At 38.7% G+C, this 18461-nt stretch overlaps 1 protein-coding gene and 1 pseudogene across 17 annotated transcripts in view; one reads left to right on the top strand and one right to left on the bottom strand.

Moving 5' to 3' along the window:
* UNC5D (unc-5 netrin receptor D) overlaps nt 1–18461 on the bottom strand; it is a 561066-nt gene that overhangs the window by 267968 nt on the left and 274637 nt on the right. The window lies entirely within an intron of this gene.
* LSM12P1 (LSM12 pseudogene 1) lies at nt 2799–4975 on the top strand (annotated as a pseudogene).

Raw genomic sequence — 18461 nt, 5'->3', positions numbered from 1 at the left:
ATCCCATTACTGGGTATATACCCAAATGACTATAAATCATGCTGCTATAAAGACACATGCACACGTATGTTTATTGCGGCATTATTCACAATAGCAAAGACTTGGAACCAACCCAAATGTCCAACAATGATAGACTGGATTAAGAAAATGTGGCACATATACACCACAGAGTACTATGCAGCCATAAAAAATGATGAGTTTGTGTCCTTTGTAGGGACATGGATGAAATTGGAAATCATCATTCTCAGTAAACTATCGCAAGAACAAAAAACCAAACACTGCATATTCTCACTCATAGGTGAGAATTGAACAATGAGATCACATGGACACAGGAAGGGGAATATCACACTCTGGGGACTGTGGTGGGGTGGGGGGAGCGGGGAGGGATAGCATTGGGAGATATACCTAATGCTAGATGACGAGTTAGTGGGTGCAGCACACCAGCATGGCACATGTATACATATGTAACTAACCTGCACAATGTGCACATGTACCCTAAAACTTAAAGTATAAAAAAAAAAAAAAAAAAAAAACCAGCTGTTTCTAGAATTCATGATAAACTTAACTGGGCATTGTTAATGATTAAATATTGTATCCTTCCCCTTCCCACTGCCAAATTAAAATGTTGAAATTCTGATGCTCAATTCGCTGCTGTTAGGAGGTGGGGCCCTTATAAATTAATTAGGTTATGAGAGTAGTGACCATATGAACAGGACTAGTACCCTTAGAAGAAACAGGAGAGGCCAAGAGTGGTGGCTCACGCCTGTAATCCCAGTACATTGAGGGCAGATCACCTGAGGTCAGGAGTTTGAGACCAGTCTGGCCAATATGGTGAAATCCCATCTCTACTAAAAATATAAAAATTAGTTGGTTGTGGTAGTATATGCCTGTAGTCCTAGATACTGAGAAGGCTGAGACAGGAGAATCGCTTGAACCCAGGAAGCAGAGGTTGCAGTGAGTCGAGATCATGCCACTGCACTCCAGCCTGGGTGACAGAGTGAGAGTCAAAAAGAAAAAAAAAGAAAACAGGAGAAACAGGAGAGCTTCTTTTCATTCTGCTCTCCCTAATGTGAGAGCACAAAGAAGAAACAGCCATCTGCTAACAAGGAAGCTGGCTCTCACCAGACACAGAATCTTCCAGTACTTTTGTCATGGACTTCTTAGCCCTAAGAACTTTGAGCAATAAGTTTCTCTTGTTTAAGCCACTCGGTCTACAGAATTTTTGTTATAGTGGTCTGAACTGACTGCGACAGATGCCCATCTTTCAGGAAGGAGCTCTGGAATACAATGATTATTATCACATAAAAATAATTCAAATAAAAACAATCCCTACTGGATCACCTGCTGTATACAGCACTGGCCAGACAAGGAAATCAATCTGGAAGTACTTGAAGGTAAAAGGATTAGGGAAAATCATAAAAGTCTCAGTTTGGAACAAGGAGAAAAAAAAAAAATAACCAAAAAGCCTGCCTACAGTTTTTACCATTTGATGTATCAGAGTACAAGCGATACGTGTCATTTTTTAAAAAATCTTTTCTCTAAGTGACATTCCATTACATAGAGAACCCCCTTATAAAATGTGATGAGAGCAGAAGCAAAGGCACAGAAAGTTTTGACCCATGATGGATACAAACAGTCATTTACACATTCATTATAGACAGGGTCAAGGAGGAAGACCGTGTGCCTGCAGAAGATGGAGTCACAGAGGGTACCCAAAGATCAGATATATCAAAGGATGACACTTACTGAAACACACTGGGTATTTCTAGGCCATTTTTTTTTTAATGAGGGGAGGCATTTGAATACTCGGAGGAAACTAGCATATATGAGATAAGCATGTATCCCTCCTGGTTAATTGATCTCATTTCTTAGATGGCAGAAAATAGATTTTCTCAAGATGCGGAAAACAATGAACTCTTTATCTCTCAATATTTAAAGTGCTTGGAAATAATTTTGAAGAGATTAAAATGTTAGCATTGCAGAAACAAAAAAACAAAAAGAAAAAAAAGAAACAATTCACAGGTCTTCCATTTTACCCTGTGAATGTAGTCCCTACCTCTAACCCACACAAATCCCAGATAAAACGATTATGACAACTACAACAACTCAGGTGGAAGAGGCCACTGATCTAGGAATCTGCCTGGCTTTCAAGGTACTAAATGCTTTTGAGGCAGTGACTGTGTGGAGAACAGGCGAGATGGATGAGGTGAGTTCCCACTATTATTATAGCTGCAGTGTCCAAGGACTCAGGGAGCCGCTTTCTGGAGAGTGTGCTGCTCTCCCCAGGACTGCAGGGAACAATGCAAGCCTTCAAGATAAATGTGGACCCTGGGTTTGGTGGAATGTCTGGGCCTGTCGCAAATGCAGATTACTAGTTTTCTATGAGAAAGTAGAAAACACCAGATTTCAGTGAGATTAATTATACATCAAAGCAATGTTCTCAATTGGTAACCATAGACTTAAACGTAAAACTACTAGAACAGAATCATGTTTTTTCCCTTTGTATCACAGAGAATGATTTCACTGCTGGGCCAGTGTCACACTGCAGTGAATCGCAGAAGAATGTAATGCTTAGTGAGACAAATATGAAGATAATTACACCAGTTATATTTGGGACACACACAAAATAAGGGACCATATTTGTAGACTCTTTATGAACACTCCAGTGCAGGGAGAGAAAAGAAAATTTTCTTTTTTAATAGCTAAACTGGATTTTACTATGACTAAATGCCTTTGAAGTAACACATTGCTTTTCTGTATAATTAAAACAAAAAAGTTAGTTAAAAGAGCACATTACGGCACTCCCAAGATGGCGGCTCCTCCGGGCGAGTACTTCAGCGTTGGGAGCCAGGTGTCGTGCCGGACGTGCCAGGAGCAGCGGCTGCAGGGCGAGGTGGTAGCCTTTGACTACCAATCCAAAATGCTGGCTTTAAAATGTCCCTCTTCCAGTGGAAAGCCCAACCATGCAGACATCTTGCTCATAAACTTACAGTATGTTTCAGAAGTGGAAATAATTAATGACCGAACAGAAACCCCTCCTCCCCTAGCTTCACTCAATGTTAGTAAGCTTGCCAGCAAAGCACGGACAGAGAAGGAGGAGAAGCTGAGCCAGGCCTATGCAATCAGTGCTGGTGTCTCTCTAGAGGGCCAGCAGCTCTTCCAGACCATTCACAAGACCATTAAAGACTGTAAATGGCAAGAAAAAAACATCGTAGTCATGGAAGAAGTTGTTATTACACCCCCATATCAAGTGGAAAACTGTAAAGGCAAAGAGGGGAGTGCACTGAGCCATGTACGCAAAATAGTTGAAAAACATTTTAGAGACGTGGAAAGCCAAAAGATACTGCAACGTTCACAAGCCCAGCAACCACAGAAGGAGGCTGCCCTGTCATCCTGAGTCCGTACACATGGAGGACTCTTCCAGCATCCAGCCAAGGAGGCGCTGGTGGTGGCTTCAGCGGAGGCAGGCCGGGGGAGGGAAGGGATCCTATATGTCCTGTTGGCTCTTAACAAAGGGTCAGCATTTCCAAATCTTAGACTTGAACAAACAAAACACCCAACAAAAAAGAACAAGAGAATAATTTAAAAGTTGAATCATTACTTGACTAACAGACTTCGGTCCACCATGTCCTTTTCACAGCCCTCTTCTGGAACAGTCACCTTGTTAATTTTATTTTTGAAAATTATTTTCCCACTCTGCCCTTTACTTCTGACTTTCCTTTCCTAGTTTGTTCCTGCCATTCTGTTTTTATAAGTGGCTACACTTGCCTTCTGAATGATTGAAAGAAACTTTTACATCTTTTCTTCCAAAATAAAAGTAACAAGCTGACTGTGATTCTTAAGTTGAGACCAGAGCAGCAAACGTCTCACTTTAAATTTTTGTTTTCTTTTCCTTTTTTTTTCTTTTTTCTTTTTTCTTTTTTTTTTTTTTTGCACAGGGCATGGCTTGAATTAGTTTTATTTTTCTTAACTTTAAATATATATATGAAAATATATATTAAAATGTTCTCTAAATATTTTCTGCTTCTTGCAGGTCTCTTTTTACTAGATCATGGCTGTTCTTCCCACCTCATCCCTCTGAAAATAAAAATGTATTGCCCTCTCCACCATCCATCATAGCCAGGCCACTAACTTGACTTGGTGCAAGAGATTCTTGCTGCGAACTTTGTAGAGCCAGTGTGCAGATAGAATTTGGCTTTGAGGGTTCCTGATGGCTTTTTAGTCTTTAACTGTGTGTGTACCAGTCTCACATTTGGCCCAAACCTCAGGATTCTCCCTCTGCCTGTCTTACTTCATGGTACTAGAAGACCTTCCTCGCCACTCTCTCCACATGAGAGAGTCAGCTGCCCTTTCTCCTGTGCCTCTGCAGGAAGAACTCTCTTGCATGGCACATCTCAGCTCCTCATTGAGGGATAGTTTTCTTTGATAAGAAACCTGGAGTCCATTTACTCTGACCTCTCTTTAAATCTATATCCAGAGCCACTAGCCCAGGAAAAACTTGGGTGACCCGTAATTTCTCTTCTCCTGCTGTCCTTTTGCTCTTACGCCCCACCCCAACTCCCCTTAAATTTTACAGGCTTATGACAGTTTGTATGTGCTCAGCCAATGAGCAGAAAACCTGGAAAGAATTTCTGGACTTTAGCCCACCAGTTTGTCTGGTTGACTAACCTGCTGAGAGCTAAAATTGGCACCCATTGCCCCGTGCCTTCAGGCAGTCTCCTGGGGCAGAGTATGCCACCATCCGAATATCAGGCACTGAGTGGGATGTGGGTGATGCTCACATGACTGGCTAGAGCTTTGGGGGTGGGGTGGGGGTTAACTACTATTTTTTTGGCCATGATCTCTTTCCCCTTCCTTTTTTTTTTAATTAAATAAATGGATCAAATTAAATAATTCAAGCCCTGCCTTCAAAATGAAATTTTTTTTTTAGTATTATTTAGCAAAAACAATAAAACCCAAATTTTTTTAACCATCAAAAAAAAAAAAAAAAAAAAGAGCACATTACTAATTTCAGAGGATACAAATGGAATTTTAGGTTGCTCTGAAACTTCAACTAGATTTTATCCTCATGACCTTCAAGGGAATAATCAGGTCTGCCATTTCTTGAAAATTATCTACTTATACCAGGGTATCTTTGCATAGTTGCTTTTTAAAATTGTGAATTAATGTTGCAGATTAACTAATACAACAGGCCAGGCATGGTGGCTCATGCCTGTAATCCTAGCACTTTGGGAGGTCGAAGTGGGAAGAACGCTTATGTCCAGGAATTCGAGACCAGCCTGGGCAACATAGTAACACCCCAATCTCTACAAAAAATAAAAAGTTAGCTAGACGTGGTGGTGTGTGCCTGTAGTTCTAGCCACCTGAGAGGCTGAGTTAGGAGGATCACTTTGGTCCTGGATATTGAGGCTGCAGTGAGCCATGAGTGCACCACTGCACTCAGTCTAGGTGACAGAACAAGACCCAGTCTCAAAAAAAAAAAAAAAACTAATACAATGGCACCACTGTAATTATTTAAAAAAAAAATAGTTCCTAAATCACACAGTTGAAGAAAGAAATACATCTAGATCCATGCAATAGGCTTCATTATATTGTTAGATATCAAAGATAATCATTGATTGGCAAATACTGTTATCAGGCTATTCAAGCAAGTTTTCAGAGCAAGGTACAAATCATATTATGTTGTGGGTTGAGGAAAACAGTGCTTAAGAAAAAAACTTTAGATGAATATTAGGGATGTCTTTATTATGGAAAAAGCAGAAAGGAAGAGAGGGGTCCAAATCTACTTTTGGAATCATTACATATTAAGGCTTAGAAGAGATAGTAGAGATCATCCAGTTTCACATTTTATAAACAAGATGAGTATCTTCTTAGATACTTATAATTTGTCTAGGTTCACTGAAGTAGTTAATAGTACAATTGAGGTTAGTGTTCTAGAAACACAGCTCTTAAGAGTTCTTTCTACCATAAAGCATGGAGATTCCAGTGAAAAAATCTGACACTTAAACCCAAAGTTGCCTTAAATGATTTTTCTTCTAGATGAAACTTCCTCTCTTTGCAAAAACAGTTCACAGGGTAAAAATATCCCAAGGCATTTCAGCAATTGATTGAAATCACAAGCTCATTGTAATCATCTTCATAAACCCTTGGAGTTCTGTGAGGGCTCCTCTGATCAGAAAAAGGGCAAATGAAACATTTATCTTTGAGGGAATTTAGATTTGGCTTCACATGAGAGCTCATCAAAGACTAGGAGAATTGAGTTTAGATCAGATTACTGCTAAGTGGGTGCACAACTGATTAGAACAGTGATTCCCCAAATCAGATTTTAGACATCCAAGGATGACACCAGTTATCTAAAGCATTGTAACAGAATTTATCCCGAAAATACTCCCAGAGTAAAATAAAAAAATATAAATGTTAATTTTAGAATCACCAGATATTTTATGAAGATAGTAGGATGGGCAGTGGGTGTTGTGTGTCATGTTTGTTGATGGGGAGCATGGTGTTATGAAATCTAAGACTTTGGATGCACAAACAACCATGTGGTTTGGACTGTTCCTCCGGGGATGTTAAGTTCAGTATCTGAGGGAGGCACATAAAGCCTGATAGCTGATCATTGCTCTAATTTATGAAAACGTTCTGATTAAGGCTGGGCTATAGAGAATGTGTTCATTAAGGTGCTAATGCTGATGAGAACCAATTTAGCTAAGCGTGTAACAACCTTAGAGCAGCTACTTAAAATATCATGTAACCTTTTAACAATTTTGAAAAGTGGGTATCTAAAAATAGAAACACAAATAAAAGAGGTCACTAGGAACACTTCGGAAGGAAGAATAATCTTCTAACCCAGGGTCATATGATCTTTTAAGATTCAATTGAAATTCCCACCAAACAATCCATCACAGGGCTGGAAATTACAGCATTAGGATCAACTAACTGCTTGTAACCTCAACAGAGTGCTTAACAAGGCAGAAGCCTAGAGGCCTCAGCATTTTGAGGACTCCTGTTTTGTTTTTGTTTTTAATTTATGCACTTCTACATTAGTTAATCAATTATCTTTCTATGTTATTTGAGACACTGTTTCTCTGTCACACATCAACCACTCTTAAAACATGGTCCTTTTCATGATTTCCTAAAAATATAAACATCAAAATGTCCTGACTTACTTATTACACAAAGTCTTTGTTGAATAGCAGGATTAATTTAACATCCTTAGTACTGGGAGCCATTTAAGTGGTAGGAAAACATCATTTACATAGAGTATCAGATATTCATTTTCATAAAAGTAATATGCCCACTCGTCTTCTTCTTTGTTATTTTCTCTCACCTCTCATGCTCGTCTATTCCTCCTCTGCCTCCTCCCTTTCAAAAAAGTTTTTAAAAACTTTACATTTTTAGAAAAAAAATGCATCCCCTCTTTTTTTCTAATCCAAAACATTTCATATTTGTACAACCAAAGACTCATTAATGTACTAGGCTTAGAAAGCAATGAACAGTCTCTCCATGACATCACCCTTTGTCTATCCCTAGCAGTCTCTTGAGTGAAAAAGGAACAATATAAACATACACTGTTCCACTAATGTCAATTGCTCCATCTCCTTCAAAACAAAAGAGAAGGCTGTATGGAATTTCATTATGAAGTATTTTATACAAACAAAACTTTTAGTAATAAGCATTTATTAAAATTAGAAATGAATTGTAAATATTAGAAACAAAGCAGGACAATAAATCCATCACTCAGTCTAAGAAAATGGGACTTCCCCAGCACAGTGGTTCTATAATGAACCTCATGTGAAACTTAATGGTAATGACCACCACTTTGGGTTGGATTTTTTTTCTTTCTTTTTCAGATCTCTCCCTCCTTTATATGTTCATGGTTTTATCACATGGGTATACATACTACCCTAGACAACATACTGTTTAGCTGATTGGTTTTGAACTTTATAAAACCTGCAGCAGAATACATACATTCTTCTGATTGCATCTTATAAAAACATCTGATATATAACCCACATACCATATAATTCACCGATTTAAAATGTACAATTCAATGGTTCTAATATAGTCACAGAGCTGTACAACTACCACCACAATCTAAATTTAGAACATTTTCATCACCCCCAAAAGAAATCCTGAACCCATTAACAGTTGTTCCCCACTCTTCCTTATTCCAGCCCTTGGCAACCATCAATCTATTTTCTGTCTCTATGGATTTGCCTACCTTGGGTATTTCATATAAATGGAACCATAAAATGTGACCATTTGCGACTGGCCTCTTTCACTTAGCATAGTATTTTCAAGGTTTATCGATGTTGTAGCATATCTTGATGCTTCATTTCTTTATATTGACAAATAATATTTCGTGTCTGGCTATTCTACTCTTGGCTTTTTCATTCATCAGTGGATAGGCATTTGGGACATTTTATCTATTAGGGATAATTCTGCTATGTCTCTTCATGAACGAGATTTTACATGAACATGTGTTTCATTTCTCTTGGGTAGAGTATAACCTAGGTGTAAAATTGGGGGGGTCATATGGCAGCTCTATGGTTAACTTTGAAGAAGAGCCAAAGTCTCTTCCAAAGTGCCTGTACCATTCTACATTTCCACCAGCAATGTATGAGGGTTCCACTTTCTCCACATCCTTGCAAACACTTATTATCATCTGTCTTTTTGATTATAGCCATCCTAGTGGGTGTGAAGTAGTATCTCAGTACAGTTTTGATTTCCCTCAAGGCTAAGGATGTTGAACTTTTTTTTTCCATGTTTCTTAGCCATTCATATTCTTCTGATTGCTTTTCTGAACTCAATGTTGTTTTTACAGTTCACCTTTGTCAATGCATGTATTTTGAGTTTTTGCATTTTCATTATAGTATTCTACTATTATGTGAAAATATCGTGATTTACTTATTCAATCTGTCAATGGATATTTAGGTTGTTTACTTTGTTTTGCTATTTGAAATAATTCTGCTATGAACATTCTTTATATACCTTTTGGTATACTTTAAATAATCCCCCACCCTGTGCTCTTAATCATTCTACTAAATAAATACCTATATAGCCAATATGCCTTTGTACAACATATCAAGAGGCATATCTGGTCAAACTAGTGGGCCACATACTAAATATAAACCAGCTACTCGGTACTGCTTATGCGCATGTGGGTATGTTATAAATGTATGAGGCCTGCTAAGCAGATGGGACATAATATATATTTCCTGAATAAAGGGATAGATATATACATATGTATGCATAAGTACAGAAAGTCATATATAAAAACTGGGAGGTAATCATGTCAGCCCCATACAAGAAAGACCATTATAAGATCATATTATTTTAGTTTTAAGCCCTAAAAACTAAACAAGATATAGATAAATCTGAAAAAGAATTGATTAGAACTATACAAATGACCTAAAAGAGGAAACCCCAGAAAAAAGGCTAAAGAGACTAGACTCATGCAGGCTAAAGGAAAAAAAAGTACTTTAAATCATCGTATGGGATTAGAAGAAGTTATTTTAAGAGTAGAAGCAAGTTTGTAGCTGTTCTTCATTACTTCTGGAGAAAGCAAGAGGGAATGAGGCTTCAATTATAGAACTAGGATTTTAGGTCAAATGTTGTTAAAAATTCCCCACCTCTTGTGATCTGAGACACAAATATGTAACCAAAGGGATCTGTGGACTCCTACTCTAGTATTCTTTCTAAAGGTAAAGAGAATTTCTAAGATGAGTTAAATTTAGCCCTGTTCAGAGGCAGAGAGGTGCACTACTACATCAGTGATACCCAATTCCTTTGACCACGTCTTCCTAGAGAGTCCATGTTGTAAAGGATTCTGTCTGCCAAACAGCATTATTTAAATAACTGTTCTTCCTAAAGCTTTTAATAATTGGAGACCTATAGAAATTTCTATCAGAACATGAGCCAAAGAAAACATGCATAAATATGTTCTACATGTTTTCCAGAGAAAAACTGAAATCAATATACCTGTCTACCAATAGTAGATCTAATAAATCAAAGATGACATATTTGCAGAATAGAATACTATACTGCAGTAAGAAGGGACCATCGATCTATCTACCATCATATTTACCAACATATGTAAATTCAATTTATGTTGCATAAAAAAATGTTGCAGAAGGATATATTCTGTAGGGTTCTATTTTCATAAATTTTTATAAATCATAGTCATAAAGCAATGCAATATGTATTACAAGTACATAGAAGTATGCTAAGATATATAAATAAAATGGAAGGATATTAAATCACTGAGAGGAGCTGCTTTTAAGAAAATGGGGAAGGAAAAGAAAGTGGAAAGAGGTGTGAAAGAAAAGGCACTTTAATGTTATCAATAATGCTTATTTCTCTTGTTAAAAATACATTAGTGGATATGAAAAACAGTGCTACTTGATAATAAATAATTGTTGTCAAGGTTAAAGATACACAAGTGCTTTTTTTTTCAGTATTTTAAAAAGTTCTCAGGCAAAAAGTTTTCCACATCTCTGATTAATCCATTGCAACAATGTTTATGCCCCCCCCAAAATTCATGTTGAAATCTTAATCCCAAAGGTGATAATAAGAGGGGATGGGGGCCTCCGGGAAGTGCTCTGCCTTCATGAATGAGACTAGTGCCCTTATGAAAGGGGCACCTGTGAGATCCCTTGTTCCTTCCACTATGTGATGTTACAGTTAGAAGACAGCTGTCTATGAGGAAGTGGTCCTGCACCAGACACTGAAACTGCTAGCACTTTGATCTTGGACTTCCCAAGCTCCAGAACTACAAGAAATAAATTTCTGTTGTTTGTAAGCTACCCAGTCCATGGTACTTTGTTATGGCAGCACTGAACAAACTCAGACATCCATCATTACCAGTATAACCCTGCTGAATTTAAAAAGCTCCAGCCAAGTCAAAGAAATGCATTGGGTGAGTAATTCATACTTTGCATTATGCTTTATGAAACTCTGAAAATTGGGCACTCACCTCAACTGCTCTGCAAGCTCATGGCATCGAGGACTCCACACTAACATCAAGAGGATAGTGATCTCTCTTTTAAATCTTTTCTGGCTCCAGAACAGCATAGGTCTACATACTAATAGGTAAACTATACCCTACTAATTATGGGTCCATCCCCAGTCTCACTTTCCTCCCTTTAAGAGCAAAAGGAAACCATGACAAAAATATTGCCTATTTTCCGTTGTTCTTCATGTTAAGATTTGCTTTGTTTCAGGCCATCCCACCAGCAAGGATAATTGGTTCCTACCCTTTCTAGTTTTTCCACCCATATGCCTGGTTCCCAAATTCTTTGAACACGATTGAATGACAGTCTAGGTACTCTCTACACATTCCAGATGTCTTAGAAAAGTTAAAGAGAGGCACGTGTCTGAAAATGGGGCAGTATATGTGGCTTTGGGGAGGGGAGGCCTAAAGGGAGGATCTTGGAAAGGATGAAAGAGAGGGAAGAAACTCTCAACTACCAAAAGGCTGGACAACATCAAAGTCTTCAATCAGTGCTTTAAAAACTCTTGTACCAAAATGATTGTAACAGCAGAAATGAATGAATGAATGCAGGTTTTTAAGAATGTCAATGAAGAGAACAGCATGACCTCAAATAAGACGTTTGTCTTACCCATTTCAACTTAAAGTTCAGGCAAATTTAGATTATTGCTTTATGATATATCTAGTTAACAAAAACAAAGGCTCTGTGTTTTCAAGTAAAAATGACACTGAAGTAAAATAAGACGTGGCATGTTCAACCTGGGATTCCTCATACACTTGGACACTGCCAATTACCCAGAATGGTAAAGCTCTTCTTGGGAAGCACAAAATAAGCAAATAAAGGTATCTGTAGGGCTTGTGCTGGATACAGGAAGGAAGAAGGAACCCAGAGACTGAGGTTGAAGGGGGAGATCTGGGTAGATGAATTTGGGAGAGATAGTAGAGAAAGTGTTAGGAGGAAAGTTGGAAAATTTACTATCAGTTTTTTCATTCTACGTCTTGAGCAAATCCAGTACAAAGGCTGTTTGGCTTCCATCTATTGATGGCATGATGTAGGAAAGATTACGATCAACACAGTGGCTTCTAGCAGATTGTCAAAGCCCTCAACATACTGCCGTGGCTGTGCTAGTGGTGGACCACCACCAAATGACAAGCCAGGTGACACTTACGAGCTGTGAGAAGTACAAACGTCTGGTGCAAACCAGAACAGATTTTCAGGAGAAAAACAGGCAATTCAGTTTGGAGCAAGGCTGTTATTTCCACATTAACAACAACACAACAAAATGCTCTTCATGATCAAATCTGTTTTATTCCAGATTTGCATGCAACTGATGGGAATCAAAAATATAACATGAAAAATTCCATAAACAATGTCTATGAAGTGGTCCAAGACTGGAAAATAAGACATTATTTCTTGCTGCATATATCATGAAAGCCTTTTTCAAGAAAGTGGAATTTGTGCTGGCTCACAATGGGTAGGCAATATTTAAGTGTGATAAATAAGTAGGATGATAAATGACATAAAAAAAAGCATAGGAATTAGGTAATGAGACAGGAACTGGCAGGAGACAATAGTTCAGTTTGACGGGCTTGAACAGTTGATGGGGTAGGAAAAACTAAGATAGAAAAACTAAGTCAGGGTGTCATTATCCAGGGACACGAATGCCAGTCCAAGAATTTTAGCCCCTTCTCTGAGTCAGCTGAAGGGGTCTTATTATGGCATGGTAAAGTCTACACTTCAGAAAAATTCTTTTGATAGCAGCAATATTATTATTACTTATTATATCCATAAAGCAGTCAGAGAAACAAGGAAAAAATAGTTTTATATTGATTCTGACAGTTTAAAAGGTTGCCGCCCTTACATATGGACTTTTAAAATCTGTTTTTGTTTGTTTTTTGAGACAGAGTCTCATTTTGTTGCCCAGGCTGCAGTGCAGTGGCACGATCTTGGCTCACTGCAACTTCCACCTCCCAGGTTCAAGTGATTCTCCTGCCTCAGCCTCCCAAGTAGCTGGGATTACAGGTGCACACCACCACATCCAGCTAATTTTTGTATTTTTAGTAGAGACGAGGTTTCACCATGTTGGCCAGGCTGGTCTCGAACTCCTGACCTCAAGTGATTCGCCCACCTCGGTCTCCCAAAGTGCTGGGATTACAGGCGTGAGCCACCACACCCAGCCCTAAATCTGTATTTTGTTGATTGTATTTACTATGCTGTCTATATACCTAAATAAACTAGAGAGAAATATTAAACTCAATGGAGACAGTAAATCACTTGAACCTGAAATCAAATGGCAATTTCATCTATACCCATGCACTAATGCTGTTTTTGGTTCCATTTACCAAGAAGATGAACAACAATAATTTCAGGCAATTAATTCAGATCTTTGGTAAGGCCACAAAAGTTTTGCCGAATACAAGAAAACAGTTACAACATAAAGGTGAAGAACATCATTTGCCATGCTGCAGGTTCAGAACTATGTGAGTGTGTTTGTGTCACTGAAGCTAGTCTTTCAGAAATTGCCCTAACCACCGGAAATCCATCCACAGCTTCATAGACAGTTTAGCAAGCTGGACTCTGATATCAGGTAGTAGTTTCATTAGACCCTTTCACTTTCAAAGGATCCACAGTATAAACTTTCAGAGCCGGCAACATAATCCTTCTCATCAAATATTTGGGCGACAGGTGGAAAATTGTTCTGCCAGCTGAAGAAGACAAAATCCATTCCTTCTGGCAATTTTCTGCAATGAAAACTCCAAAAATGAATGTGCAATAACTTGTGGAAATAAATTTCAAATATTATCACACAAAAGCAGTGTGCTCAAAGTCTCCAACTGTAAACTAACTCCTGCTTATGTGAATTTTAAAATGTTGATTTCTTTTTGTTTGAATTGCCACTAAGGAAAGAGAAAATATTTTCAGACACAAAAAGCCAGAGAAATGCTAAATTCAAACAACATAAAGCAATGTTCAAAGCTATACTTTGTTAGTAGCATCTCTTGGGTCAGGATATAAAGACTAAAAGGCCATTTTCTATCGTTACCTAATTTCTAGCAACTGCGAGATTATCTGCTTTGATTGGAATGTTGTACACAAGCCAGCCTAGAAATGCGCTGGGCTTTGACTCTTCCTGGTTGGTTGCAGCAACTTCCATCTGCTCTCCCATGCAGAGATAGATCACTTGGCATTCCTGATAATGGTTCTTTTAAAGTTTTCTCTCAAAAGCCCTCATTTGCTCACTCCCTAGTTGTGTAAGAGTCTGGCAGATGGGTATGTGATGGCATGGGAGGCTGACAGGGTTTGCAGCAAGTTAATGAGGGAGAGAAGGTTGCACACTAGCAATCTGGGTTGGCAGTGTTGCACATGAACTGCTCAGCTATGCTTTCCTGCATAGGGATTCTGCATGTCAAGTATTCACGTGGCTGCAGAAATGCAAAATGGACTCAGCTGAGGGTCACGCCAGGTAGAAGGGTTCTGCCTTGAAATGCCACATTCAACAACTTCATTAAATCTTTTTCTTCACTTGGAGGACTTTTCCATCCTTTTCACCAATGGTTTTCTTACATGGCTTGTGTGCATAATGATCACCAATTGATTCTAATTTAGTTAGCTGGAATTCTAGAAAATCTATTGGTGAAGTGTATGTTTGCAATAGCTTAAAAATGTTAAACAAATAAGGGATGTAAACAAAATTGCCAGTTTACTGCATCATTTGGTTTTAGAAAGCAAACTTTTCATGGATTTTAAAAGAACCTGTTTAATGGGTAAACAACCATTATACACACATCATTCCCATTCAACAATATCTTTGGTGCTTTCTCCATACAAGACTCTGTGATCAGAGTTTGGAACATTCAGCAAAAAAAGGAGACAAAATCCTTGCCCCTCAAGTAGCTCACATTCTTGGAAGGAACAAGGAACTCATTTTTAACAAGTCTATGGTATGTTAGATGACAAGTAAGTGCTGTAGGGAAAAATAAAGCAGGGGAGAAGAACTAGGAATGTTGGATGAGAGAGAATTGCAACTTAGAATAGCTTGTTGAGGAAGGGCCCGGCCGGGCATGGTGGCTCACTCCTGTAATCCCAGCACCTTGGGAGGCAGAGGCAGGTGGATCAACTGAGGTCAGGAGTTTGAGACCAGCCTGACCAACATGATGAAACCCTGCCTCTACTAAATGCAAAAAAATCAGCCAGGCATGGTGGCACGTGCCTGTAATCCCAGCTACTTGGGATGCTGAGGCAGGAGAATCACTTGAACCTGGGAGGTGGAGGTTGCAGTGAGCCGAGACTGCACCATTGCACTTCAGCCTCGGTGATAGAGCAAGACTCTGTCTCAGGGGAAAAAAAAAAAAAAAAAAGGAGGGTCCAAGAAGGCAAAGGGCAAAGGAGATGAGGAAGCAATGCACATGGTTATTTTGGGAAGAACATGTCAAACCCAGAATAGCAAGTGCGAAGTCCCAGAGGTGGGAGCCTGTCTGGAATACTAGAAAAACCAAAGAAAGCAAGTGTGCTGCAAGGTGTGCATGGGAGTGTGGAGGGAAGGCGTGAGAGGGCAGGTAGGAAGCTACAGAGAAGAGGAAGAAATGAGAATAAAGGGGCAAAGCCAGGCATGGTGGCTCACATCTGTAATCCCAGCACATTGGGAGGCTGAGGTAGGCAGATTGCTTGAGGTCCGGAGGTCAAGGCCAGTTTGGGTAATATAGTGAGACCCCATTTGTGGGACCCTATACTCCACAAACACTTCTACAACCTCATCTCCATAATTTGATTTATAAATTTTTATAACAAAACCTCCTTAATGTATAGCTACTAATTATATATTATAATACCTTAGAATGATACATCTCTGTATTTTCTAAAACGGGTAAGTTCACCAAGCAAACTTAAAATGTATGCAAGACCAGGGGAGGAGCAGACTGTTGAAGCTAGATAAAGACCTCTGTTTTCAAAGAATGTCAGACACCTCCATTCTACATGGTAGCCAAGGATCTCCATTTAGTAATCTATTCAGATATATATATATATATATATATATATATATACATACATATCTGAATATATAATCTATGCAGATATATATATATATATATATATATATATATATATATATATATATGGCTCACTATTAGCCTTGAACTCTCAGACTCAAGAGATCCTCCTGCCTCAGCCTCCTGAGTAGCTAAGACTATATAAGCACGTGCCTGGCTAATTTTATAATGTCTTGTAGAGACAGGGTCTCACCATGTTGCTCAGGCTTGTCTTGAACTCTTGACCTCAAGTAATCCTTTTGCCTCTGCCCACCAAAGTGCTGGGATTACAGGCATGAGCCACTGCATCCAGCTCAGATAACCCTTAACCTTACTTGCATTAGTATATGAAAGGGAAAAGTAAACTTTTGAACTTATGCTTTATACTTTTAATGTGTTTTACTGTAGTATAACCTCCATTAGTTGATAGTCTAACGAAGTGAGGTGTTTTGATTGGGGGTGTATTCTGGTTAGAACCATAGTACCTCAGTATCTTAGAGGTGGAATACAATTTAAATATCTCAACATCATTTCAATTTTTGAATCCTACTAACATATCACCCATCTTCTGCTAGACCAGATCTGATGTGGAGGCAACCATTGCCTGTCAAGACCATCTCCACCTTCGAATAGCCAGGCACTCAGAAGGTCCTGGTCAAGGTTAAGTATATCAGTTTTAGAGTCAGACAGCTTGAGTTTAGATCAAGCACATCCAACCTACTCCATGTGGCTACATGCAGCCCAGGACGGCTTTGAACGTAGCCCAACACAAATTCATAAACTTTCTTAAAACTTTGAGGGTTTTTTTTTTTAATTTTTTTTTTAGCTCATCAGCTATTGTTAATCTATTTTTTGTGTGGCCCAAGACAATTCTTCTTCTTTCAATGTGGCCCAGAAAAGCCAAAAGATTGGATAACCCTGGATTAGATCCTTCCTACCACTTATTATTGTGAGGCCTTCATCAATTTACTTAACTCCTCTCGACCTTTGTTTTCTTCTATTTAACATAGGAATAGACATACAACTTCCTCCTGGAAGGGGATTGTGAAAATTAAGACCTTTTTTTTTTTTTTTTTTTTTAATCTTAGAGGTGGGAACTCTCTACATTGGTCAGGCTGGCCTTGAATTCCTGGGCTCAAGAGATCCTCCCACCTGAGCCTCCTAAGTGGCTAGGACTATAGAAACACACCACTGCACCAGCTATAAAAATTAAGACCTAAATCACATAAAATGCTTATTTCAGAGTGCACACAGAATTATTAACATGATTTTATATACTGGTCCTAAATTACCACAGGTTAGCCAGAAATCATGTTCATTGTATTTACACAAGGCCTTATTTCAGTATTTTCTTGGCATCTCAGGATTTCACAGCCCATCATGGTGCTAAGTATGGGAAGAATCAGTGAAAGAAGAACTGCTCTTACATAGATCTTAAGGTATAATCTAGAAATCTCTTTTGAAGAGGAAAGTCCCTGAAAGCTTGATTTTCCTAAGAGATGCAAATCTCTTATACTTGAGGGAAGACCAACAACAACAAAATGATTAATTGAGGTCCTCTTAGTTGGAGGCCAATTAATGGAGGCTTTGCTATATAATTGGCCTTTCCCTCAATTAGTCCAAATTAGTAAATTTTACTGTACATTTGTTCCTGTCAAGAGTGAATTAATAATTTAGGTGTGACATTAAATAAATACCAGACATTGATTTATATGTGTCATCTCTGAAAACATCCATTTTCCTGGCAAGTGAAGGCAGCAGGGAGCTTTTGCTTCACTTGTGTATACTACCCAGGACAAAAAAATGTAGAAAGCTTCCTCCTTAGAAAATCAAGTGGATTGACTCGAACTTATAGACAGCAGGCCTGACTTGTCTGGCCAAGCTGAGATGTTGAATAAGGCTGTTTGTACTGAGCTTCCCAGTGCATCCTGAGCTAACTGGTGAGGATATGGTGGAATCAAATATTTCTTGGTCTCAGGGCCACCTCATGAGGCAGAGGTGGTAAGAGGCTATTTATTACAACCTCAGCAATGAAGCCTTATTGTCGCTAAAAAAAGTTGAGGCAGCAGGTGATAACTGATCACAGGTGCAAACACATGCAACAACTGATAATATCTATTTCAACATAGGCAACGATGTGTGTGATACTGTGAAATACATATTTGGTCTTTGTTCCCTTTTCTTGGCACACAACTCCTAATATCCTGGGAATCTCCAAAGTGTTTTTTTTTTTTTTTTTTTTTTGGATATAAAAAAGATGACTGGTAACTGCTACCCCCTAGGTAGCTCCAGGGTGGGGGCTGGTCACTGGAAAGACCAAGACCAAGGCTTCAACAGAATGTTGTGACTTTCAGCTCCACCTCCTGAACTCCAGGTAAGGGGGAGGAGAGAGGGAATGAAGGTTGAGTGAATCACCATTAGCCAAGGATGTAATGAAAAATGC

Source organism: Homo sapiens, chromosome 8, assembly GCF_000001405.40.
Source record: "Homo sapiens chromosome 8, GRCh38.p14 Primary Assembly".
NCBI lineage: Eukaryota > Metazoa > Chordata > Mammalia > Primates > Hominidae > Homo > Homo sapiens.
Note: the sequence above shows the minus strand (reverse complement) of the source record. Positions and strands in the feature narration are given on the sequence as shown.